Raw genomic sequence first — 27432 nt, forward strand, 5'->3', positions numbered from 1 at the left:
AGCATTTGTGGATATTTGGAGAAGAGTTTTCTAGGCAGAGGATACTGCCAACACAAATTCCCTAAGTTGGAAGCTTGCTTGGGAATGTGAGAGGAGAAAGGAGTGGTGGGAGTGAAGTGAGGGAGGGCAGGGGTTAACAGGGAGCCCTGTGGGTCTTTTAGCCCAGTGCAGAAGCATTTTGTTTGGCTTTGACTCTGATTCAAATGGGGAACCACAGAAGGCTTTTGAGTAGAGTGAAAAAGATCACTCTAGCTACTGTGTTGGGAAAGGATTTTGGAGCAGTAAAGGAAGGTGCAGGGAGCTGACTTAGAAGGCCACAGTCCCATGCCAGGCTGGAGATGCTGCAGCAGTGGTCCAGGGTTGTAGTGATGAAGGTGGTGAGCAGTGGTTTGGATTCTGGATATGTTCTGAAGGCAGAGCCAACAGGATTTCCTGAGTATAGGGGAATGTGGGAGAAAAGCAAGGAGTCAAGGATGACTCCAGCTGAAAGCAACCTAAATCATTAACTCTCAAATTTACCTGACTTGATTATCAGCTATTTACAACTCATGAATGTTACATACCATGGAGAAGTCCAACCCAAACACAGGGTTCACACGCAAACCAGTAATTTGATATTGAGGGCTCTACATGTTCCATTAATCACATCCCCCTACTTAAAATATTTTCCTTGGCTGCCTTTTAAGAATAAAGTTATTTTCCATAGTCTTTGAGAGTTAACTCAGGTAGGACCGAAGTGATGACCGTTCTGTCCTCTGCAGCAACGCCATTGCCCTTTATCCTTGTTGTGATGTGGTTTTCCTGTGTCTTCTGCTGCTAGATGTGATGACGATATCCCTCCTTTGTTGATGGACTCAGCATCTGTACATGGGATATTTTGACTCCAATTTTCCTGATGCATCATCCTAATTGTCTGGTAGTTACTGACTGTCACTTACCAACCGGTGTGAGATATTCTTCAGCTCTTCATCAGGAACAGAATTACAGCCTCTATCTTTAGAAATGATATATGCTGAGGATTATTCATGTTTGTAATTACAAATCTAGCAGAAGTGCAATTATTAAAAAAAAAACCCTTGGAAAGGACATTTTGTTGTATAACGCAGAACCTGCTGTTAGCCTCTTGTGCTGGTATTACTTTTGTTGCTGTAATTGCCACCTGCATTTCAGTTGTAATTTAACATTATCTGTCTTCTCTGTATCTTTCTACCTGATTGTAATTGTTAGGACTCCTGCCATTTATTCTTAAATACTTTCTTGTCTTTCTGAATTACTGGGCTATTTTCTATGATTATAACCTAAGAAACAGCTGCAGCAACCCTTGTTGCATTGTAAAAACTTCAGAGGGCTGGTTTATCTCTAGTTTAAAACCAGTGAAGCAAACAGTGGGGGGACCTTCGGAGGTCATTCACATAAAACCATCATTTTAAGAATGAAGAAACTGAAGCTTTTGAGTGATTAACTAAGTTGCTCATGATCATTTACATTCTTATTGTTATGCTGTACTCTGGAGTAGCAAGTATGGATATATATTCAGAGATAGGATCTTTTAAGTCCTAGCACTTTGCAATTTATGCTGATTAACCAACGACCTGCCAAACAGAGCTCAAGATGGGAAGGGAAGCGACACTAAATCCTTTTTTTGAGCCAGATACTGCTAGGTGCTTTGTATCATGGACCACATTGATATGCACAATAATCTGATGAGGTAGGAATAATTATGCCAATTTCTCTCTCTCTCTCTCTCTCTCTGTCTCTCACACACCCACACCCCCCCCCACACACACACATGCTGGGATTTTTGGGAGATTAAGCAACAGGCTCAAGAGCACACGGGTAGTAACTCTCAAATAGTAAGAACTGCTTGACTTTCCACCCTTTCTCTTTCTACCAAATCAGGAACAGAATAATGGATATCTTCCAAAGGGGTGAGATATGAGCATGAGCTACTTTTTTTTTTTTTTTTTTTTTTTGAGATGGAGTCTTGCTCTGTCGCCCAGGCTGGAGTGCAGTGGCGTGATCTCGGCTCACTGCAACCTCCCTCTCCTGGGTTCAAGGGATTCTCCTGCCTCAGCCTCCCAAGTAGCTGGGACTACAGGCACGTGCCAACACACCCAGCTAATTTTTTGTATTTTTAGTAGAGTCAGGGTTTCACTGTGTTAGCCAGGACGGTCTCGATCTCCTGACCTCGTGATCTGCCCGCCTTGGCCTCCCAAAGTGCTGGGATTACAGGCACGAGCCACCGCACACGGCCAGGTATGAGCTACTTTTAAGGCAGTTGGAAGCCCAAAGAGCTTGGGAAACCATGAAGACTAGGCCTCACAACTGCAGTTTTCTCAGGCCTATGCAGCTGCCTCCATCCTTTTGCTCTGAGCAAAACTGGACCTAGTTAAGCAATGTTGCCCAACTGTTAAAAAAGGAAGCTCAAAACTAGGAGGTAGGATGCCAGATAATTTGTTTAAATTTTTGATCTTTAAAATCTTGACTCTTTGAGCTTGTTTTGAGCCTCATTGGTCCAAAGTGGCTCAATCTGACTGAGGAAGGGGTTGGAGGAGGAAGGAATGTAAAAATGAAAGATCGGTGGGAAAAGGATACTGCCTTAGGTTGTCTGTAGGTAAATAAAGGTTTGACTCTATAAAAACTCTCTTCCTGAAATAATCAAGAATGCTTCACATCAGAAGCATCAATTAAATGGCTGCCTTCTTTTTGTTAATTCTTTAGTCTTTAGCTATTTCTGCTGTTGCTGCAGAGGCAGAGAGATGGTGAAAGAATCAACCTCAGGAAATAGTATGGAGGTCAAGGGTCAGCTAAGAGGATCTACTGATTTTCTGATCTGCGGAGCTTTCTGAGTGAGTCTCCCTTGAATTGCAGGAGGGCATCCAATAGGAAACCCAGTATGCAACAATCTCAAGAGATAGCCTCTAGAACACTGGGATTAGCATTAATCCATGAAAATGAGGTGCTATAATGATGATGATGATGAGACTAGAACCTATAGTTACATGCATTGTGGGAAAGGTTTGAATTGAAAGGCTGAAGGAGGGAGTGGTTGTCTTCCAAGAGGGTATGATGGTCATGCTGAATGAAGAATGAAGTGAAAGAAGTCAGTGAAGATGCATTAAGACCGTAGGTCAGGTTCAAGTAGTAACTCCCAAGGGTTCAACCACATAATGACGCATTGAAGGATGTCTATTACAATCATAAGAAACAGCAAAGTGGTTGAGTATAGTGGCTCATGCCTGTAATCCCAGCACTTTGGGAGGCCAAGGTGGGCAGATCACTTGAGGTCAGGAGTTCGAGACCAGCCTGGCCAACATGGTGAAACCCCATCTCTACCAAAAATACAAAAACTAGCAGGGCATGGTGGTGCCCGCCTGTAATCCCAGCTACTTAGGAGGCTGAGGCAGGAGAATAACTTGAACCTGGGAGGCGGATGTTGCAGTGAGTTGAGATTGTGTCACTGCACTCCAGCCTGGGTAACAGAGTGAGACTCTGTCTCAAAGAAAAGAAAGAAGAAAAGAAACAGCAGAGTGTCCCATCTGTCCTGCGAGTCCTAAGGAAACTGATTAATGGCTTCAAAAGTTTATTTCTCATCAAAATGAACTTGATTAATTACAAATCCAGATTTTTTAGTCCTGCCCCCCAAAAGTCTGATTTTACCAATGAAAATAACCCCCAGGTAATTCCTGCAAGCAGCCTCACTGGAAACATCTGGGGTAGGTGACCCCAACTTCTGTCATTGTGAGTTTCTGTGTGCTACCTTTCTTTTTTGGTTTTTGTTTTTAATAAACAGGGTGTTGCTCTCTTGCCCAAGCTACGGTGCAGTGGTGCAATTATAGCTCACTTCAGCCTTAAACTCCTGGGTTCAAGGAATCCTCCTGCATTGCTGGGATTACAGATGTGAGCCACTGTGTCAGGCTCTCTGTGTGTTCCTTCTAATAGTACTTCTAGAACATCTCTTATTTTTTTCTTTTCCAGCTCGGAGATTCTTAATTTGAGTTTCTGGGGCTCAATGAATAGGGCCCAGGGGATCTACAACCCCCCTGAAATTACATGCAGAATTTCACATATATATGAGCTATGTGAAGAGTCTCAAAGGAATCTGTGGTTTCCAAAGGGTTTAGAACAATTGCTCCAACTGTTCTATTTATCTCCTTTCTGCCCTGACCCCTGGAGCTGGTTCACAGCTTTTTATCCTGGCCAGTCTTCCTGGCTTTAGTGGACAGTACATTTGTCTTTGACTTTGAAACTTTACATTAACTATGAGACATAGCGTGAAACTTTGGAAAGAGAGGGGATCACTTCTATGTTTCTATTAAAATTAATTTCCTTTGGAAGAATATGCCTGTGACAGTTTTCATAGAACACTGCTGTCCCCATTTTAATGAGAAACAAAAAAATTCATCCACGTCACCAATATTCTATTGTGTCTCTTTTCTCCCAGAAGCCGATCTCTTTGCTAAACCATCTTCAGCACAGCTCCAGTTGAAGTCCTTTGCTTGTCTGGGTCCTTTGTTGCCCTCCCGGTGTTCTGCTGTCCACAGAATATAGCCCTGACTCGGTAGCCTGGCATCTGTGCCCTTTGCAATCTGACTACCTCCTGCTGCTCTCCTAATTGTTCCATGTTCCAAGCTAACTGTGCTCCTCGCCATTGCCCAAGCCCTGTCTGTGCCCTCTTCCCTCTGGGCCTACAGGGGATGCCCTCCCTCTCCTCTCCATCTGTCACCGTGTACCCTTGTTCAAGGCCTTCATCCCATCTCTCCGTCAGCCAGAAATTTCCTCTTCTGTGAACATCAATTGTACTTGGTTCATACGGGTCTTATGGCATTTGTTACATATTGATTTTTGTTTGATTATGCATGATTTGTGTTTCTCTTTTTTCTTATTAGATTCCAAGACCTTTCATCACAGGGCCTTTGTTGATTTAACTGTGTATCTGGTCAATTGCCTGTCACAGTACCTAGCATACAAAAAGCCCTCAATAAAATCTGGTGAATGTATTTAAAAACCTAGATAGGGCTATTTTAATTCAGAAAAATAAATCTGTTTGCCTTTTTTCCTGGTAATCTAAGTTGGGCAGTTGCACGAGAACTGCATATAAACTGCATTCAACTCTTGATAAATTAGAAAAGTCATCTGATGGCTTCATTAAAATGTGGGCTTTAAAATTATTTATGATTTCATTTTTCATAACATCTTTGTGAGACTTGTAGTAGTGTAGTATTCCCCCCGTCTTTTGGATGGTGATTTCACTGAGGTGAGAGGTTAAAGTGGGTCATTCAAGGCCACAGAGCAGGCAGGTAACAAAACTGGCACTGGAACCTTGGCCTCCTGGGGCCACGTTAGCAGAGCGTAGCATTGACTGCACTAAGGATGGAATACAAATGTGCTTACACATTGTCAAATCCTGTGGGTCAAAAAGTTTGTTTTAGTGAAAGCATCACAGATAATGAAGTATTTGAAATTTTCTCTTTTCACCTTTTGGCATGCAGGCTCCTCTCTCTCTGTTCCCTAAATAAGGACACGTCTGTAGGTCTGATCCTCAGCCCTGTCTGTCTGTGACCTTCTCCAGTATCCAGGACCCTCGGCGATCAATACCTGCCTCGTGGTTTCAATGATCATCACTCTGCTGACTTACCTAACGTCTTTGCCTATGGTGATGACCCCTGCCTGCTCTCCACCTCACATCTCTTGTGGTTTACCAGAAGTTTCCACTTAGAATTCTGCCATCACTTCAAAATCCAGATATCTAAATCCAAACTCATCATCTGCTCTCTGAACAAACTTACTCCTTTCTCAATCTACATTTTTCTACCATAATTCTCCTAGTCATCCAAGTTCAAAATCATTGTTATCTTTAACTTCCTTTATTTTTTTAAGAGACAGCTTCTCATCCCACTGCCCATGCTGGAGTGAAGTGGTGCGATCATGGCTCACTATAGTTTCAAACTCCGGGGCTCAAGTGATCCTCCTGCCTCAGCCTCCCAAGTAGCTAGGACTACAAGCACACATCTCTGCACTCAGCTATTTTTTTTTTTTTTGAGACAGAATCTCACTCTGTTGCCCAGGCTGGAGTGCAGTGCTGTGATCTTGGCTCACTGCAACCTCTGCCTCCTGAGTTCAAACGATTCTCCTGCCTCAGCCTCCTGAGTAGCTGGGATTAGAGGTACCTGCTACCACACACAACTAATTTTTGTATTTGTAGTAGAGATGGGGTTTCACCATGTTGGCCAGGCTGGTCTTGAACTCCTGATCTCAAGTGATCCACCCACCTTGGCCTCCCAAAGTGCTGGGACTACAGGTGTGAGCCACTGCGCTAGGCCTAATTTTTAAATTTTTGTAGAAATGGGGTCTTATGTTGACCAGGCTGGTCTTGAACTCCTAGCTTCAAGTGATCCTCCTGTCTTGGCCTCCCAAAATGCTGAAATTACAGAAATGAGCCACTATGCCTGGCCTGTTATTTTCAGCTTTTTAATTGGCTTTGTCTTATTGATACTTCCTTCAAAATGTTTATCATGTCCATTTGAGAATCTAGAGTGGTTTTTTTTTTTTTTTTTTTTTTTTTTTTTGCCAAGGATTACCTCTTTCTCTAGAGCCCTCCACCTCATGCACATTCCTTTCTTTCTATTTTCATTACCACATTGTGATCTAGGTCTTCTCTTCCTCTTCCTTAAATTTCACTGGTGTTCATTTTGTTACAGGATGAAATCCATAGTCTTCAACCTGGCATACAAAACCTCCCACAAGCTGACTCCAGTTGATCTTTCCAACTTTCTAGTCTAATACTTGCCTCTGGTAATTTTTTTTCCAATTCTTCTGTTGACTGTCCTGGAATGCATCTTACATGGCCTTGCTTTGGTCCTCAGTTTAGTTCTTTTATTTTCCAGTTTACTCCTTTGGATACTTCTCATCTTCAAGGTCCAGCTCATGTCTCATCTTTTTGATATGACCATTCCTAATTATTTAAATCCATATTCTGAAGTTCTTGGCCCTTGTTGTCTACATCTTTGCTGCTCAAAGTGTCATTAAATGAGCAGCAGCATTGTCACCACCTGGAAGATGGTTAGAAATGAATCTTGGGGCTCTGCCTCAGACCTGCTGAATTCAAATCTGCATTTTAGCATGATCCTTGAAGTGATGCATGAAACACTTGTCTGTCCCATTTAGATACTTAGATAATACTCAATCCAAACACCAACTTATGTACTTATCTGCACTCCTCAAGATCCTTGAAATCTGCGAACCTGTTTTATTTTTCTTTAGTATCTCTGAAACACAATTTCATGGTAAAGTAGGTGCTTACTAAATAGATTTTAGTGTCCTTCTCTTTCTTTTTCTATTTAAAGGAGGAAAAAACTCCCAAGACTCCTAGAAAGTGAGCATGAGCTGCTATAGTTTGAATGTAACCTCTTCAAAATTCAGGTATTGCCAATGAGATACTGTTAAGAAGTGAAGCCTTTAGGATGCGATTGAGCCATTAGGGCTCCTCCCTTGCAAATGGAACAAGGTCAGCAAACCAATAGGAGTGCTAAGGTAAATGACTGTAGAACAAAATGGTGTTTATGTAGCTTGATGGTACATGTAATTTCACAATTGCATTTTGTGTCTGAAAAACATATGAGGTTTTGCTAAGCTTAGTAGAGAAATGCCTGCTTTGTGGCAATGTTGTCCATTAGTTAACCAGAGAGAAATATGAGAACAGATGATGTCACTATATTCTTCCACTAGCCTAGGTTCTTAAAAGCTCTAAGACTACAAGTGTTATAGATGACTCCAGCATGCACTCATACTGCTACTTAACTTTCTTCATGGAAATGTGTCTTATTCTGTCAACAGACTAAAAGAGGGGCAAGGACATATATTATATAATTTTGTATATACTCGATAATGCTCAGGACATAGAGCTTCAGTTCCTTCCCTCCCTCCCTCCCTCCTGCCCACCCTCCATTTCTTTATTCCTGCCTTTCATCCTTTAAGTGTTTGTTGAGTGATTGAGATCAAATATTGATATATTGTATCTATAGAATAGAATATTCTATTCTAGTGCTATTATATATGCTGGGGATAAATCACGCATTAAAATGAATGTCCTTCTCTTTATGGAACTTGCATTCCAGTGGAGCAAAAAGATAAACAAAATCATAAGAGGAATTTATACTTAGAGGACGATAAGTACTGCAGAAAAAGATTAGAGAAGAGGGCTTGGAATTGGGGAGGTATACTTTAAAATAAAAAGCCAGAGAAGACCACCTTTGAGAACATAATTTAAGAAAAGACTTGAAGGAGGTAAATTATGTAGCTATCTGAGGGAAGACCTTCCCAGAGAGTGGAACAGCAGGTACAGGGCTGAGGTGGGCATGAACAGGGAAGAGTAAGAACGGTCTTTTGGGTTTGAAGTAGAAGGAGCTTGCAGGAGAATGACAGGAGAGATGAGGTCAGATATTACATCTCAATAGGATCTCTCTGGCTGCAATATTGAGAAAAGCCAGAAGGGGGACAAGGTGGAGGTGGGAAGACGAATTAGAAGGCCACTGCAATAATACAGACAGGAGATGGTGGTGGCTTAGACCAGGGAGGCAGCCGTGGAAGAGGTGAGAGGCAGTTACATTCTGCATATATTCCGAGAGTACAGCCAACAGGATTTGCTGAAAGATTGAATTTGGCATATGAGAGACAGAGAGGCATCCAGGATCCAGGCATTTAAGATTTTTGGCCTAAGCAACTAGAAAGATGCAGCTGCCATCAAGTGAGATGGGGGAAGGCTGCGGTGGAGAAGTCTTTTTTAGGGAAGATTAGGAACTTAGCTTTGGCAATGTTGAGTTTGACATATCTTTTAGACAAGTGGAGATATTGAGGAGGCAGTTGAATATTGGTGGAATGAACGAATAACCAGGATCTTAATCAAGTGTTTAACTCCCTTAAACATAAATCAACTTTTTGTCTACTTCCTCATAATGTGAAGCACTTTGGGATGTGACATTGGAAATCAGACTCTTCTGACCAAGGCCCAGGTCTGCCTGAATTCCAGGCCTAGAGATCTGACAATGTGCTGGCCATCTTCCCTTAAATGTTCTCTAGAGCCACACCATGTCTAAAATGGAACGCACTCTCTTTATCCCAAGCCTGGTCTCCCTCTTTGTGACTGTGGTGAGTGGGCACCACTAGGCATGTAAGCTGGCAGTCACACTTCATTCCTTCCATTTCCTCATCTCCATATCTAATTGGTCACCAAATCTTACCAACCCCACTTCCAAACCATCTCTAGAACCCATCTCCCCCCTCCGTCTTCACTGCTGCTTTTTTGGATTTATGCTCTCATTGTCTCTCACCTGGATTATATGTAAATCTTCTCCTACCTGGTTTCCCAGTCTCCAATCGATCCTTCACATAGCTCCCAGAGTGATTTTCTAAAATGTAAATGTGGCCATGTTACTCTTCTGCTTAAAACATTTCCAAAGGCTTTCTTCTGTCCATAAAACCCAAAACTTGAGTTTGGCCTGCAAGGATCATCAAGATCTGGCTCCTGCTTATCTCTTAGATTTATTATCCCCCCCATCCCCCCCGTCACTCCTATCCATTGGCCAGATTATACTACCTGTAGTTAGTTAACTTATTCATTCAATTTTCAGATATAAATAGGATGCTTCATATGTTACAAGCACTATGCTAAGCTGTGGGGGATACAAAGCTAGACATTGAAAAAGCCTGAAATAAACCTGGTTGTCTTCCTTCCTACTTACTTACAGTCGTCATACAGTAAGCTGTGGGGATACAATGCTGCATTGTACGCAGACTTGGTTCCTGCCCTCATGAAAGTATACTTTCTCAATTTCCATGCCTTTGCTCTCTGAACCCCCTGCCTTGAATTTACCACCATCTGCTCCTCCCTCCATCTCACTGCCATGTCCTCCTTCTCCTACCAGCTACTTAAAGAATACCATCTCAACTTTTAAGAATCAGCTTACATCATTCCCTTGTATTAAGCTCTTTACTCTATCTCCTTTTCTCTTCTAAAAATGTTTCCTCCCTCAAAAGGTATCATTGAAAAACTTAATAGCTCTAGAAGTGAGGATATCTCTAAATACATTCCAGGTTCAGTTCAGAATATTGTTTTATCTTATACTAGAAGATCATAGCTCAAGGAATGGGATTTCCTTCTTTATCCCAAAAGGGAAAAAAGCCTCCTTTTCCTGGATTTTTCCCATGCTCCTTGGGCTCCACAAGTGGGATAAGCAATTGTTAACTTGCTGCAGAGTGAGTGAACCCAATTGCATTGGATTCACACACAGTGGATGCTCCAGGATTTTTTTTAAATATTTATTTATTTATTTATTTATTTATTTATTTATTTATTTATTTATTTATTTTGAGACGGAGTCTCTCTCTGTTGCCCAGGCTGGAGTGCAGTGGCGTGATCTCGGTTCACTGCAAGCTCCGCCTCCTGGGTTCACGCCATGCTCCTGCCTTAGCCTTCTGAGTAGCTGGGACTACAGGTGCCCACCACCACATCCAGTTAATTTTTGTATTTTTAGTAGAGACGGGTTTTCACCATATTGGCCAGGATGGTCTCAAACTCCTGACCTTGTGATCCACCTGCCTGAGCCTCCCAAAGTGCTGGGATTACAGGCGTGAGCTGCCATGCCCGGCCTTCAGGATTTTTAAATAGTAAAGCGTTAGGGGTGGTGAGCTGATTGGTAGGGGTGCTAGGAAACTTGTCTTAAAGCTAAGTTTGCATAGCTAGCTTACAATTTTCACTTAGATTAATATACATAGATTTATAGTAGCTTGTGGGGGACTGATAAAGATGTGGGTTAAAGATTCCTTTTAAAGCCATCCCTTAATGCTACCACTGTACAGAAAGATGGCAGAGTGACTGCCTTTATAGACACCTGCCCACACTTCCTAATCTGCCCTCAGTTGCAACTCCTAGAGAGTAGGCACACAGCTTAGGGTGGAAAATACATGAAAATTCAGTACTTGTAAATAGATGGGAGGTGGGTAATGAGGATGAGCGACAGAAGAAAAAACCTTCTATATTTGTCTGTTCTCACCACCTAAGGGGTTCTTCAGAAAACCAGTGAGCTTTACGCTCAGGTTGAGAAATCCTTGTTACAGTCACTTTAATTGCAATCTCTATTTCTTCTCTCTTTTTCTTTCTCTCTCTGTGTCTCTACACCTCTCCCTCACCACTTTCTGGATATGCACACATATTTACATTCAGATGATTTTAGAAAGCTCCATTGGGGAATAACTATAAATTATGAATATGCAACAGCACTAAAACCAACTATTATAGTCAAAAATCCTGAAATAAACCTCCTGGTTCTCTTCCTTCCTACTTACTTACAGTCAGCACACAGCAATATATCTTAGAGTGAGGCTAAATGGATATCTGATACTCACTCGAATGTGATAGGCAGTCAACAACCCAGTTATCACTGTTGAAGCATTTTAAGGACTACTTCCATGTCACTCTGGCTATGATAAAAACCATAGTCTCCAAATTGGTACAGTAGGATGAACCTTCCATGACGACTGGTAGCATGTGTTTGATTACACATATGTATACATACATGTACACACAATACACATACCTAAACATTATAACCAGATTAGTATATTCCTTTTGCATTGTACTGAATACTTTAAAATAATGTTTCATCAGTGATTGTCAGAGTTATAAAATCATTTGAATATATTAATAAGCTATAAACATTTTAATTTTAAAGGATAAAATATGCTGCACAAAAGAGCCAGTACAGCCACTGCTTATGTGTTTAATTTATTTAAAGAGATGCCTGTTCTGTTATTACTTCAAATATAGTTATATCTACATGTAAGTGATTTTAATTTGCTACAACATTTAGATGTATCAATGAGACATTTCATAAATTAAAATTGTATCACGTAGGGAGACTATCTTGATTATGAAGCTTTATTAGGTGATGATTATAAGTGCCTTGTTTAATAATTATAACAGCTTAATGGCTCCTGTAGTTATACTTTATAATAAAAATTTCACATTTAATAATATGGAAAGGGATGGTACACAGTGAACTGACAAAAAAGTATTGATTCTGAACCTTTAAATTGGATTCCTATTGATCTGATGTATGAATATTTTATTGGTGTAAATGTTTTCAGGGTTGCCAGTTTCTATTACTGCATGTTAGCAATTTTACTGGCTATGTATAATGGACAAATTAAATGCCAGGATATGGGCATATCCAGCACCCCACACTGATTATTTTGATTCACTTATCACTATACACTACTAGGGCCTTCCCTTTCTCTGTCCCATCTCTGTTCTGGAAGGTGAGCCACAGACTTCTTCTGTACATGCCTCAGATACATGACAAGCCAGTGATGGGTGGTCTGGCTTGTTATCTGGTAGAGGCTGGGTGGGCATGTGTCTCTTCCTGCTAAGGCCCACAGCCCCTTAGCTAAGACTTACACATTTGCTCCAAGGCCAGTCATTTGGGCCCGAGTACCTAATGGATAATAACAGGGGCTCTGGGATTAGGTAGAGCAAGATGGCTGAACAAAAGCTTCAACCAATTGTCCTCCCCACAGGAACACCAAACTGAACAACTATGCACACAAAAAAGCACCTTCATAAGAACCAAAAATCAGCTTAGGTACCAGCTTGGCCACAGTGGAGTAGAGCACCAAGCAGGCTCTTGGGGTCCCTGATTCCAGGCCTAGCTCTTAGATGGCATTTCTGGACTTGCCCTGGGCCAGAACGGAGCCCATTGCCCTTCTGGGAGAGTCCCAGTCCTGCCAGCATTCATCACAAGCTGACTGAAGAGCTCTTGTGCCTTGAGTGAACACTGGTGGTACCCAGGAAGTACTCACCATGGACCTAGGGTAGTGGTGATCACAGGGAGAGACTCCTCTGTTTGTGGAAAGGGGAGGGAAGAGTAGAAGAACTTTGTGTTGAGGTATGTGTTCCAGCTCAGCCACAATCGAGTAAGGCACCAGGTATATTCCTAAGGTTTCTGACTGTAGGACCTGGCTCCTGGATGGCACCTCTGGACCCACCCAGGGTTTGGGGAATTCACTGCCCTGAAGGGAAGGACACAAGCCTGGCTGGCTTTGCCACCTGCTGATTGTAGAACCCTAGGGCTATGAGCAAAGATAAGCAATAGCCAGGCAGTGGTTACCACAGGTGTTGGGTGAGACCCAATGCTGTGCTGACTTCAGGTCTGACCTAGCACAGTCCCAAGGGCAATGGCCACAAGGGTGCTTGTGTGATCCCACCCACAGTTCTAGGCAGCTCAGCACAGAGAGAGAGAGAGAGAGATGCCATTTGTTTGGGAGAAAGTAAGGGAAGAGAACAAGAGCCTATGTCTGGAAATCCAAAGAATTCTTCCAGATCTTATCCAAGACCACCAAGTACCTCTAAGAGACCGCAAGAGTCACAGTGTTACTAGACTCGAGGTGCCCCCTAATGCAGTTATGGCTACAGTGACCAAAAACTTAGATCACAACACTCAAGTCCCTTTGAATACCTGGAAGGCCCTTCCCAAGAAGAATGGGTACAAACGAGCCCAGACTTAGAAGACTACAATAAATATCTAGCTCTTCAATGCCCAGATACTGACAAACATCCATAAGCATCAAGACCATCCAGGAAAAATAATCTTACCAAACAAACTAAATAAATCACCAGGGACCAATCCCAGAGAGACAGAGATATGTAACCTTTCAGACAGAGAATTCAAAATAACTGTTTTGAGGAAATGCAATGAAATTCAAGATAACATAGAGAAGGAATTCAGAATTCTATCAGATACATTTAACAAAGAGATTGGAATAATTAAAAAGAATCAAGCAGAAATTCTGGAGTTGAAAAATGCAATTAACATACTGAAGAATGCATCAGAGTCTCTTAGCAGAATTGATCAAGTAGAAGAAAGAATTAGTGAGCTTGATGACAGGCTATTTGAAAATACACAGTCGGAGGAGACAAAAGAAAAAAAGAATGAATAAGAATGAAGGATGCCTCCAAGATGTGGAAAATATCCTCAAAAGGGCAAGTGTAAGTGTTATTGGCCCTAAAGAGGAAGTACAAAGAGAAATAGGTGCAGGAAGTTTATTCAAAAAGATAATAACAGAGAACTTAACAAACCTAGAGAAAGGTGTAAATATTCAAGTGTAAAAACACCAAGCAGATTTAACCCAAATAAGACTACCTCAAGACGTTTAATAATCAAACTCCCAAAGATCAAGGATAAAGAAAGGTTCGGAAGAAATAATATAAATAGAGTTCCAATATGCCTGGTAGCAGACTTTTCAGCGGAAACCTTACAGGCCAGGAGAAACTGGCATGACATATTTAATGTGCTGAAGGAAAAAAACCTTTTATCTTAGAATAGTATATCCAACAAAAATATCCTTTAAATATGAAGGAGAAATAATAACTTTCCTGGACAAACAAAGGTTGAGGGATTTCATCAACACCAGACCTGTCCTACAAAAAAATGCTAAAGGGAGTTTTCAATCTGAAAGAAAAGGACATTAATGAGAAATAAGAAAACATCTGAAGGTGCAAAAAACTCACAGGTAATAGCACAGAGAAAATCACAGAATATTATAACACTGTAATTGTAGGGTATAAACTATTCATATCTCAAGTAGAAAGACTAAAAGATCAACCAATCAAAAATAATAACTACAGCCACTTCTCAAGAAATAGACAGTACAATAAGATAGAAATAGAAACAACAAAAAGTTAAAAAGTATGCAGTGGGGGGGAATGAAGTTAAAGTGTACAGTTTTTATTAGTTTTCTCTTTGCTTGTTTGTTAGTCTATGCAATCAGTATTAAGTTGTCATCCATTTAAAATAATGGGTTATAAGATAGTATTTTCAAACCTCATGGTAACTTCAAATCAAAAATCATACAACAGAGAAAAAATATGCAAAAAATAAAAAGCAAGACATTAAAACATACCACCAGAGAAAATCACCTTTACTAAAAGGAAGAAAGAAAGAAAAGAAAGAAGGAAGGAAGGAAGAGAAGACCGCAAAACAACCAGGAAACAAATATCAAAATGGCAGGAGTAAGTCCTTACTTATCAGTAATAACATTGAATGTAAATGAACTAAACTCTCCAATCAAAAGACAGAGAGTGGCTGAATGGATAAAAAAAAAAAACAAGATTCAACAATCTGTTGCCTACAAGAAACCCGCTTCACCTATAAAGACACACATAGACTGAAAATAAAGGGATGGAAAAAATATACTATGCAAATGTAAACTGAAAAAGAGCAAGAATAGCTATACATATATCAGACAAAATAGATTTCAAGACAAAAACTATAAGAAGAGACAAAGAAGGTCCATATATGATGATAAAGGGGTTACTTCAGCAAGAGGATATAACAATTATATATATATATAATATATAATATATATTTTCACCCAGTGCTAGAGCACTCAGGTATATAAAGCAAAAATTACTAGAGCTAAAGAGAAAGATAGACCTGAATACAATAATAGCTGGAGACTTCAACAGTTTCAGCATTGAACAAATGATCCAGACAGAAAATCAACAAAGAAATATCAGATGTAATCTGCAATACAGACCAAATGCCCTTAATAGATATTTACAGAACATTTCATCCAACAGCCTCAGAGTACGCATTCTTCTCGGCACATGGATTATTCTCAAGGATAGACTGTATGTTAGGCCACAAAACAAGTCTAAAAAATTCAACAAAATTGAAATTATATCAGTATCTTCTCTGACCACAATGGAATAAAACTATAATAAATCAGTATCAAGAGGAATTTTGGAAAATATAAAAACACACGGAAATTAAATAGTATGCTCCTGAATGACCAGTGGGTCAATGAAGAGATTAAAAAGGAAATAAAAAAATTTCTTGAAGCAGGTAATAATGGAAACACAACATACCAAAACCTACGGGATACAGCGAAGCCAGTACTAAAGAGAAGTTTATAGCTATAAGTGCCTACATCAAAATAGAAGAAAAATTTCAAATAAACAATGTAACAATGCATCTTAAAGAACTAGAGAAGCAAGAGCAAACCAAACCCAAAATTAGTGGAAGAAAATAAATAAAGATCAGAGAAGAAATAAATAAAATTAAAATGGAGAAAACAATATGAAAGATCAATGAAACAAAAAGTTGGGTTTTTCTTTTTCTTTTTTTCCTTTCTTTTTTTTTTTCTGAGACAGAGTTTGGCTCTGTCACCCAGGCTGGAGTGCAGTGGCATGATCTCAGCTCACTACAACCTGAACCTCCTGGGTTCAAGCAATTCTCATGTCTCAGCCTCCTGGGTAACTGGGATTACAGGTGTGCCAACATGCCTGGCTAATTTTTGTATTTTTTGTAGAGATGGGGTTTCACCATGTAGGCTAGGCTGGTCCCAAACTCCTGGTCTCAAGTGAGCCACCTGCTATGGCCTCCCAAAGTGCTGGGATTACAGGGATGAGCTACTGTGCCCGGCCAAAAAAATGATTTTCTTAAAAAGATAAACAAAATTTTTGTCAGTTGACAAGACTTAAATCTAAGACTTCAAGCTATGAAACTATTAAAAGCAAACATTGGGAAAACTCTCCAGGCAAGTGATTTCTTGAGTAATACCTTACAAGCACAGGCAACCAAAGCAAAAATGGACAGATGGGATCACATCAAGTTAAAAAGCTTCTGCATAGTAAAAGAAACAATCAATAAAGTGAAGAGACAGCCCATTTAATGGGAGAAAATATTTGCCAACGATCCACCTGACAAAGGATTAATAACCAGAACGTATAAGGAACCCAAGAAACTCTATAGGAAAAAAATCTAGGCCAGGCGTGGTGGCTCATGCCTGTAATCCTAGCACTTTGGGAGGCCGAAGCAGGTGAATCACCTGAGGTCAGGAGATGGAGACCAGCCTGACCAACATGGAGAAACCCTGTCTCTACTAAAAATACAAAATTAGCTGGGTATGGTGGCCCATGCCTGTAATCCAGATCTTCGGGAGGCTGAGGCAAGAGAATTGCTTGAACCTGGGAGGTGGAGGTTGCGGTGAGTCGAGATCGTGCCATTGCACTCCAGCCTGGGCAACAAAAGCAAAACTCCGCCTCAAAAAAAAAAATCTAATAATCCCATTAAAAACTGGGTGAAATGTCTGAATAGACATTTCTCAAAAGACATACAAATGACCAACAGGCATATGAAAAGGTGCTCAACATCACTGATCATCAGAGAAATGCAAATCAAAACTGCAATGAGATATCATTTCATCCCAGTTAAAAAGGCTTTTATTCAAAAGACAGGCAATAACAAATGCTGGTGAGGATGTGGAGAAAAGGGAACTCTCGTACACTGTTGGTGGGAATGTAAGTTGGTACAACCACTATGGAGAACAGTTTGGAGGTTCCTTAAAAAATTAAAATGGAACTATCATGTAATCCAGTAATCCCACTGCTAGGTATATACCCAAAAGAAAGGAAATCAGTATATTGAAGATATGTCTTATCTCTGTACTCCCATATTTGTTGCAGCACTATTCACAATGGCCAAGATTTGGAAGCAACCCAAATGTTCATCAACAGATGAATGGATAAAGAAAATATGGTACATATATGCAATGGAGTGCTATCCAGCCATAAAAAGGAATTAGCTCTTGTCATTGTCAACAACGTGGATGGAACACGAGGTCATTATGTTAAGTGAAATAAACCAGGCACAAAAAGACAAACTTCACATGTCCTCACTTATTTGTGAAAGCTAAAAATTAAAACAATTGAACACATGAAGATAGAGAGTAGAATGATGGTTACCAGAGGTTGGGAAGGGTATTGAGGGTGCGGGGAAGGGACGGTGAGACAGTGGGGATGGTAAATACGTATAAAAATATAGTTAGATATTTAGAATTAATAAGATCTAGTATTTGATAGCACAACAGGTTAACTATAGTCAACAATAATTTATTGTACATTTAAAAATAATCATTTGTAACACAAAGAAAGGATAAATACTTGAGGTGATGCATACCCATTTGCCCATGCAATAATGCCTGTATCATGCCTGTATCAAAACATCTCATGTACCCCATAAATATATACACCTACTACATACCTACAAAAATAAAAAAAAAACCCCTGGACTCTGGAGTCAGATTCATTCAATTCAAATAATATTTATTGAGAGCCAAATAGCAGACATTGTTCCAGGTGCTAGGAACAGAATCGTGATCCTGGCTTCATGGACTTCCATTCTCATGATTGCCTAGGTTCAAATCCTAACTCTACCTCATAACCTCAGGAAATATGTTTTACTGTCTGAACTTATCTCTTAATTTGTACCAGATTCATGTTTGTTGCAAGAATTTACAGAGGCAATGTATATAAAGCATCCAATATCATGCCTAGCTCATTGCAAGTGTCACTTATTTTTATTTTTGGGTGAAAGTCTGATGCAAGCCATATTTATGCCATAAATTTAATTGGATGTGAATATGATCTACTAGTTGAAATGACTCTGATTTCTATGCTTTTTAATCTAGTCTGAGCAGCATTTATGATACAGTAATGGCCAAAAGACAATGAAAACACTATTATTTATCTTAATAAGACAATCCTAAGCCAAAAGAACAAAGCTGGAGGCATCACGCTACCTGACTTCTAACTATACTACAAGGCTACAGTAACCAAAACAGCATGGTGCTGGTACCAAAACAGAGATAGAGACCAATGGAACAGAACAGAGCCCTCAGAAATAATACCACATATCTACAACCATCTGATCTTTGACAAACCTGACAAAAACAAGAAATGGGGAAAGGATTCCTTATTTAATAAATGGTGCTGGGAAAACTGGCTAGCCATATGTAGAAAGCTGAAACTGGATCCCTTCCTTACACCTCATACGAAAATTAATTCAAGATGGATTAAAGACTTAAATGTTAGACCTAATACCATAAAAACCCTAGAAGAAAACCTAGGCAATACTATTCAGGACACAGGCATGGGCAAGGACTTCATGTCTAAAACACCAAAAGCAATGGCAACAAAAGCCAAAATTGACAAATAGGATCTAATTAGACTAAAGAGCTTCTGCATGGCAAAAGAAACTACCATCAGAGTGAACAGGCAACCTACAGAATGGGAGAAAATTTTTGCAATCTACTCATCTGACAAAGGGCTAATATCCAGAATCTACAAAGAACTCAAACAAACTTACAAGAAAAAAACAAACAACCCCATCAAAAAGTGGGCAAAGGATCTGAACAGACAATCCTCAAAAGAAGACATTTATGCAGCCCACAGACACATGAAAAAATGCTCATCATCACTGGCCATCAGAGAAATGCAAATCAAAACCATAATGAGATACCATCTCACACCAGTTAGAATGGCAATCATTAAAAAATCAGGAAACAACAGGTGCCGGAGAGGCTGTGGAGAAATAGGAACACTTTTACACTGTTGGTGGGACTGTAAACTAGTTCAACCATTGTGGAAGACAGTGTGGCGATTCCTCAAGGATCTAGAACTAGAAATACCATTTGACCCAGCCATCACATTACTGGGTATATACCCAAAGGATTATAAATCATGCTGCTATAAAGACACATGCACACATATGTGTATTGTGGCACTATTCACAATAGCAAAGACTTGGAACCAACCAAAATGTCCAACAATGATAGATTGGATTAAGAAAATGTGGCACTTATACACCATGGAATACTATGCAGCCATGAGTTCATGTCCTTTGTAGGGACATAGATGAAGCTGGAAACCATCATTCTCAGCAAACTATCGCAAGGATAAAAAACCAAACACCGCATGTTCTCACTCACAGGTGGGAATTGAACAATGAAAACACTTGGACACAGGAAGGGGAACATCACACACCGGGGCCTGTCGTGGGGTGGGGGGAGGGGGGAGGGATAACAGTAGGAGATATACCTAATGTAAATGACGAGTAAATGGGTGTAGCACACCAACATGGCACATGTATACATATGTAACAAACCTGCACGTTGTGCACATGTACCCTAGAACTTAAAGTATAAGAATAAAAAAAAATGTAGTCAATTGTGGTGAGTCATAGGAGGGATGCCAAGTGTGGAATCACCACAGATGCCAGTCAAGGCTCAACGTGACCAGCTGTTCAGGGTGCTTTGACAATCCCAAGCCTTGAAACTACCTAAAGGCTCCTTCTGAGTCAAATATCAAAAAAATGGATCCCAAATGACTCCTAATATGATTTCTCCCAGATGCTCTTTCTGATAACTTTGTTTCCGACGTTGATATCTGATGCTCTCCTAATTACTTTGGACCACTTTCTTCCTGGAAGACTCTATATGGCTCTTATCATTGAGCAGCTCTTTGCAATGAAGATGGGAAAAGACCTCCACTATCTTCTGTTATGATCTAAGGCCCTCGATGAGGTACCCATTGCCTCCATGTATCTTCCTGGGAAGGCCTTTCTGAGGCTTTGGCTGGTATCTTAATTTCTTGTGGAATATACATACTGGTGTTCTGGTGCTGTGATGTCTGGATATGTTGAGGTATTGACCATACCCTGGCCAGTGGTTTTCCTTTTGTTTATATGGAGAGAGTCCCTGCTCTGGCAAGGGAAGAGATGAAGGGAAGAGAGGGTAGAAGAGGGGAGGGGAGGGAAGAGGAGGGGAGAGGAGGGGAGGGGAGGGGAGGGAACAATTTACTGTGCCTTTTTAAAAAGAGATCAGCCAATAAAAAGGTAGATTTTGGAGACAGACAAATCTAAAAAAAAAAAAAAAAAAAAGAAATGAAGGTTCCAAATTGATCACCTAAATCATACAGTCCTTTATCAAAATGCCTGGAAGCCTGTCTAGGCTGGAGGTTGGCTAACAGCATACACTCAGCTGACCCGGGGAGTACTGATTTATTTTCCTATGTTAGAAGTTAGGCCTCATCTGAAAGGCAGAGAGAAGGGCATCATCACACTCTATGCCCTATGGACTGGGATTGGGGTGGGCACTGGAGACTATTCAAGAGGGCATTTTTGGGAAAATAGGAAGAGAGCTCATGGTGGAAGACAGGGAAAGTACCAGTAGAAGCCGCATTCTGACAACATTCCACAAGGAGAGAAGCTAATTAAAAATGGGAACCTGACATAGGCCAACTAAATGAGTATCTCTGGGGCTGGGATCTGGCAGTGATCTTTCATAAGAAAAACTCCCCTAGATAATTCTAACATAGCCAGAGGTAAAAACAACAACAAAAAACCCCACTACTGCTCCAGACTAGTAGTTCTCAAAGTGTAATTCGCAGACCAGCACACGTGGGTATTTGTAGAAGTGCAAATTAACAGGACCCCCCACCACCCCAGATCTACTGAAACAGAAACTCTGAGGGTGGGACTCAGGAATCTGTGTCTTAACAAGCTCTCCAGTGATTCTGATGCTTGCTCAAGTTGGAGAACTACTGCTCTAGATAAGTCATACCAGACCAAAAAAACAAACAAACAAAAAAATTAGGAAGGTCAGGAAGGCAGGCAGGGTAAAATGGATCAGGGTGGAAGTCCACTGTGGTTTCCTTTTGTACTTTAGAGAAGAATGAAAAACGCACATTGCTCACTTCCATACAACTTTGGAGAGGGGAAGGTATCTAACCCTTCACCTTTCTCTCTCCTAAAGCTCCTTCCTAGGAGCCATTAAATGACAGAGGCCTCTTGGTTCCAAGTGGGTTTTAGGATTTTTAAATAAAATGCAGAGACTAATAATGAAATTTGTTGGACCATCAGAAAGGACAGCAGATGGCCCTTGTGCCTAGGAGGGAGGGAGGGAGGGTAACCGCTTTCCAGACCAGGAAAAAATAAACTAAGAATAAAAAGAAAACCAAATGATTAAAACTGAACTTTGCTTTACTTTTCCCTTTTATTTCATGAAAGCAGTGTTTGGGCACAGTAGAGATATGTTAATAAAATTGAATAATGTCTCTTGCACTAAGTTTTCAGTACAAGATGAAAACTGCATAAGAACATGTTCTAATGATGCGTTGGTTTTCTCACAGTAACATCCAGCCCCCAGAACATTCTCTGGCAGCACCCACACTCTCCTGTCCTAGTGAATAAACCTGGAACAAAGCTGAAAATCTGAGGAGCTGCCGCCTGGATGGGGAAGGATATGCTTGTGAAATGTAGCTTGGCTCTGTTGCTGACTTAGATGGGAGTACAGGAAAGTCATTAGTTTCTCTGGCCCTCAATTTTCTCAAGTAGGAAATGACAGAAACCACCCAAATGAACTGAAATGTCAAAGTGATCTCCACAGGCCCAGGAAGAGGGCCAGGTGCCATAGCCAAACAGGATAGCAGAAAATCGCACAGGCTCATGGTGTCACATTCTGGTAAATGGGCATGATGAAATTTAACTAAGCTGAAAAACTGAGAAGTTTAGTGATCAAATGTGGGCCAAACATTCTATGGGCATTTTTGTTGTTGCTTATTTTAATGGTCTTTTCCTCCTCATACTCACATGCTGTGCAAAAATTATATAATTATATAAAAAATATGAATTATATAAGTAAAGAACCCCAACCAAATCTCAACTGATTTTGTGAAAAAGAAATATCTTTTTTTTGCTTACTCTTAAGTTCTTTTTATCAGAAAACAAATACCACATGGGATTATTATTTTAAACACAAGCTGCATTTAAGAGAAAGTGTCTAGTAAACCTTCTGGGGCTGTAAATTAGCTGCTAATTTTGTTTGACTAAAGGCTGTAAAATGCATTTCTGGGAATTATTGTGCACAGAGAACATCCTCCTAATACTTCAGTGGGCTTGAACAGAGAAATGGAATCCTATTCAGTATACCTGTTACTAAACTGAGGCTACTCCACGACCCAGGCTCATTCTATCTAACTACATAGCCAGCTTTTCTGGATTTGTGAAAGATGAGATTTTGGGAAAGAACATGAGAAACAATGAGTCATTCACAGACACATAAGTAGAGATTTGAAATTGGTGTTCAGACCATCTAATCTTCACATTTCCTCCTTTGTTCAATCTCATTCCAGTCTCTGAAATTTTCCAAGGGCCTGTTTATTACTCTGTTCTATTCACCTACTGCTATGTTCAGTTACTGCCCCCTGTTTCTCTAATGGAGTTTTGCTTTCAAGACTGGGCACAACTCTTCTCAATATGTATTTACATTTTTCATTTCCTTATACAAGTTCCATCATTTTTTCTTTATGATAGTTTTCTTTAACCTGTTTATTCATTTGTTTCATTTGTTATATTTTCATGTTTTTTATCCTGGTCCTTATTTTCCTCCATGACACCTCTTCTTATACTTGATGTTGTTCTCTAGAATGCTGTTAAATTTGCTACCTGTCTCTTTCAAAATTTACCTGGGCAATGGTAGCACACAAAGGGCCATGCAGACTTGCCAATATTAGGCTGGTTTGGCCTAGCATAGTACCTGGCACACAGCAGGCATTCAATCAATATCTGTTCAGTGACTGCCTGAATGAAAATAGAAATGATATCAGTAGTTTTTTGCAATAATCTTAAGCAAAATTATAAACTAATAACTTCCACTCCTTTAAATGTGTGTCAACTTTTCTGTACTAATTGGAAAAACATCTAGTTCATGTGGATCAAAATTGAGTCTATATGCTACGTAGGGCAAAGGCATGCCTGGATTTTAACATCTCATCCTCAGTGACTCTAATGGTGCCTGGCACAGAGGAGATGCCCAATAAGTTTATATGAAATGGCTTAGAATGGACTACCTTCTCCATGCGACTAATGATCTGTTACTACTTCCTGAAAGGTTAGCCATTATTGATATACCACTTCTAGATGCTGTGACAAATGGCACAGCTCAGCAGCAAAAGTACTTTTTAAAGTCTATGGGCCTCCACAGGTTGAGTTTGAAAAGGATCTGTTAATCCTCTGAAATTACATGTGATTTATGGGGAGAAAGTTTACAAAATTATTAATACTCTTGAAGGGGAATATGACCTCCCCCCACCCCAAATTTCAGAACCACAGTGGATAATGAAAGTTTCTATGCTGTAAGAGCAATTAGGAAGTCCTGAAAAACAGGGAATTTAGTCAGGAGACTTGAGTTGAAATCCTAACTCTGCCCCTTGCTGGCTGGGTGACCTTGGCCAAGTTTTAAACTCTTTCTTATCTTCAGTTTCCTTATTATGACATGGTGATGTTAATGACAAGTCTCTAGACATAGTGGTTAAACTTCAACTTGAACCCAAATTTTTCTGGCTCTAAAGCCCAGGCTCTTAACATCTATCATCCTACATTAATTAAATGAGATAACTGATGTGAAAATGCCTGATGTAAATATTTGTTAAAGCAACAACAAAAAATGTCATTTGTCAAAGTAACAAAGTATTTTTTAAAGTAACAACAAAAGAGACAGATAACCACAAAGAAAAGGCCACTTTAGAAATTCCTCTTTGACCTATTAAAGAATGTTCAAGTTCAAAATATGTTTGTCATTATGATTAAAAATCCAACCCCAAAACTTGGGTGAAGACGGCATAATCTGTTAGTTTGGATATATACAGACTAAGGGGATTCTTTGGAATACCCTTTGTCTAGAGTGATCTTATGACATGGTACGGATAACTAGACTCACCTAACATTCAAATGAAGGGCTGTGTGTCTTCTATACTTTGTAGACAGAGGTGGCAGATCATCTGCTTTTAAATATAGAGGGCTCCCATTCTGCTAGGATCCAGAGGGAATGAGGGTCCTATGTTACAGATGTCCCTCTGCCTGCACAAAAGGCTGAAGAACAAGCCATCATGGAGTGTGGGAGATCCAGCTGTTGTCCATTTCCAGAAGAGGAGTGAATAGTGGCTTAACAGAGAGGACCCTTGCCTGGTTCTCTTTGGAAATTTCACAGTAGTGAGGCCAGGTGCGGTGGCTCATACCTGTAATTCTGGCACTCTGGGAGGCTGAGGCAGGTGGATCACTTGAGGTCAGGAGTTCAAGACTAGCCTGGCCAACATGGTCAAACCCCGTCTCTACTAAAAATACAAAAATTAGCCGGGCGTGGTGGCGTGCACTTGTAAGCCCAGCTACTAGGGAGGCTGAGGCAAGAGAATTGCTTGAACCCAGGAGGCAGAGGTTGCAGTGAGCCAAGATTGTGCCACTGCACTCCAGCCTGGGCAACACAGCGAGACTCTGTCTCAAACTAACAAACAAAAAATTTCACAGTCGTTATGAACAGATAATATGCTCAGGTATTAGCCATTTCATTGCATTGTTTTGACAAGTGACAGGAATTAGGTTTGCTAATGTTGGAAGAAAAATCTCACTTGTTGCTTTTAACTTAAACCTTTTATGGTTTTGAGATAGGTTTATTCACTGGGCTGGAGAATGAAGGATTTATCTGTATTAGTCGGATTTGATCAGTTTTCAAGTAGCTACTCAGTGTCAGGCCTATACATTATCTCGTTTAACTCTCTTAACACCATGGTAAGGTTGACTGTATCATAATCTCCATTTATCAGATAAGGAAACAAAGATTCAGAGAAGTCACCAAGTTGAGATCATTGCCCAGCTGCACACAGCTAGTGAGTGGTGAAGCTGAGACACAAATCAGGGCTTCCGACGCCACTTTCTATTACACTTTACTATGCTGTGCATTCGTGTAAAAGCATGATATTTTTAAAGTGGCATTCCAGCTGCCAGAAGGATATCAAATCAAGTACTAAAGACAATATTATTAGAAATGGAAATCTGGACTCACCAAGAAATGTCTTCAGTTCTATATAATAGGAAGACTGGTATTTTGCTTGATATGGGTGTTTCAATATCATCTGCTCCTAAAATGCAGTCTAGACACCTCTTGTGACCTGCTCAGGTGATACTAATGAAGTTTGGGTCATTTTTAGCATCTACAGAGAACAGAGTAAGAGTGCTGTGTGTTCAATACTATTGCAGACTTATGGGATAAACTGGATTTTCTTGCTTTACTTTATAAAGCTAATGCCTGATTACAAATATAAGTTTAAAACAAACCTCAAAATTTCTTGGCACCCACTCTTTGTGGTTGGTAACATGGACATCTGTATAAAATACCCAAGACCTTCATAGAGCAAAAGTGAGTGGGAAATTAATTTTTATTGGGTATATAATCATCACTAGCCATGTTCAAATACTTTTTCTCTAAATCCTTTACAAAGATCTTGTAAGTTGGGTATTATTACATTCAGTTTAGACTAAACGAAATGCAAAAAAAAAAAATAATAAAGAAAATAGACTCACAAGGTAAAGTTGCATACTTGAGACATAACAAAATTAAATTTCATTCTATGATGCTGCCACATAGCAGATGATACAAGCAGTATAGAATACCCATAAACATTATGTTTTAAGGTATTTCCACCTGTATCTTTCTTGGGGCAGGTAAATGAAACTCACTATAAACCAGTTACAGGTCCTCCTTTATCTGAGGTTTTGCTTTCTGAAGTTTCAGTTACCTGCAGTCAACCATGGTCTAAAAATATTAAATGAAAAATTCCAGAAATAAACAGTTTATTACGTTTTAAAATGGATGTCCTTCTGAGTTGTGTGATGAAATCTCATGCCATCCTGCTCCATCCCTCCAGGGATGTGAGTCATCCCTTTGTCTAGTGTATCCATGCTGTCTGCCCTTAGTCAGCCTTCTTGGTTGTCAGATTGATTGGTACAATGGACACAAGGTATTACCGTGCTTGTGTCTAAGTAACCTGTGTTTTACTATTATTACAGTCTATTGTTATAGTTTCTATTTTAATATAAGTTATTGTTGGTAATCTCTTACTGTGCTTAGCTGATAAATTAAACTTTATTATAGATATCTATCTATATCTATCACAGATATATCTATAGATACGTACCTGCGATATGTATCTATATGCGATATGTATAGATACATATCACAGGTATGTATCTATAGATACATCGGTATATATATGAAAAAACAGTACATATAGGGTTTGGTACTAACCACAGTTTCAGGCATCCACTGGGTGGGGATGCGGGTCTTAAAACACAACCCTTGTGGATAAGAGAGGACTACTATATGGAAAGTCAGAGTTAGAGAGCTTTTGTAGGTTATGTAGTTCAATCTTTTGTTTTGCTGGTAAGGAGAAGAATACACCTTAATTTTGACTTCTTAACTCGAAAAGTTAAGAAACTTGTCTAAGGTCACAGAGCTAGTGGCAGAGCAAGCCAAGCATCAGTGTCTCCAAAATCCAGCTCAGTGTTGTTTGTGTTATATCAGAATGAGTAAGAGTTAAGATAAGAACATGAGTCTTACAGCTCCACTATCCATGTTCAAATTCTTGCTGAATGATTGGGGAAACTTACCCAACCTCTCTGGACCTCAGGTTATTCACAAGTAATACGAATATAACAGTATTTGATAGAGCCAATTAAATGAGTTAATATTTGCAAAATGCTGAAA

At 39.9% G+C, this 27432-nt stretch overlaps 1 protein-coding gene across 51 annotated transcripts in view, besides 1 other annotated feature; it reads right to left on the minus strand.

Annotated features, from left to right (window-relative positions):
• Positions 1-27432, minus strand: part of ANKS1B (ankyrin repeat and sterile alpha motif domain containing 1B) — a 1250151-nt gene that overhangs the window by 212212 nt on the left and 1010507 nt on the right. Inside the window, exon 18 of one of the 51 annotated variants that reach the window (XM_047429164.1) lies at positions 166-9407. The exons of the other annotated variants lie outside the window; for them this stretch is intronic. Within the exon in view, the coding sequence (XP_047285120.1) occupies positions 9384-9407 (24 nt within the window). The 3' untranslated portion in view covers positions 166-9383. Of the gene's footprint in view, positions 1-165; positions 9408-27432 lie in introns of those variants that run through there. 51 annotated transcript variants of the gene reach the window in all.
• Positions 8234-8528: a silencer, noted in NCBI's record as "tiled region #15444; HepG2 Repressive non-DNase unmatched - State 13:Ctcf". NCBI's record gives its function as "represses a minimal TATA promoter and a strong SV40 promoter by Sharpr-MPRA in HepG2 cells {active_cell/tissue: HepG2}" and the evidence as "EXISTENCE:reporter gene assay evidence [ECO:0000049][PMID:27701403]".

Source organism: Homo sapiens, chromosome 12 (assembly GCF_000001405.40).
Source record: "Homo sapiens chromosome 12, GRCh38.p14 Primary Assembly".
Taxonomy (NCBI): domain Eukaryota; kingdom Metazoa; phylum Chordata; class Mammalia; order Primates; family Hominidae; genus Homo; species Homo sapiens.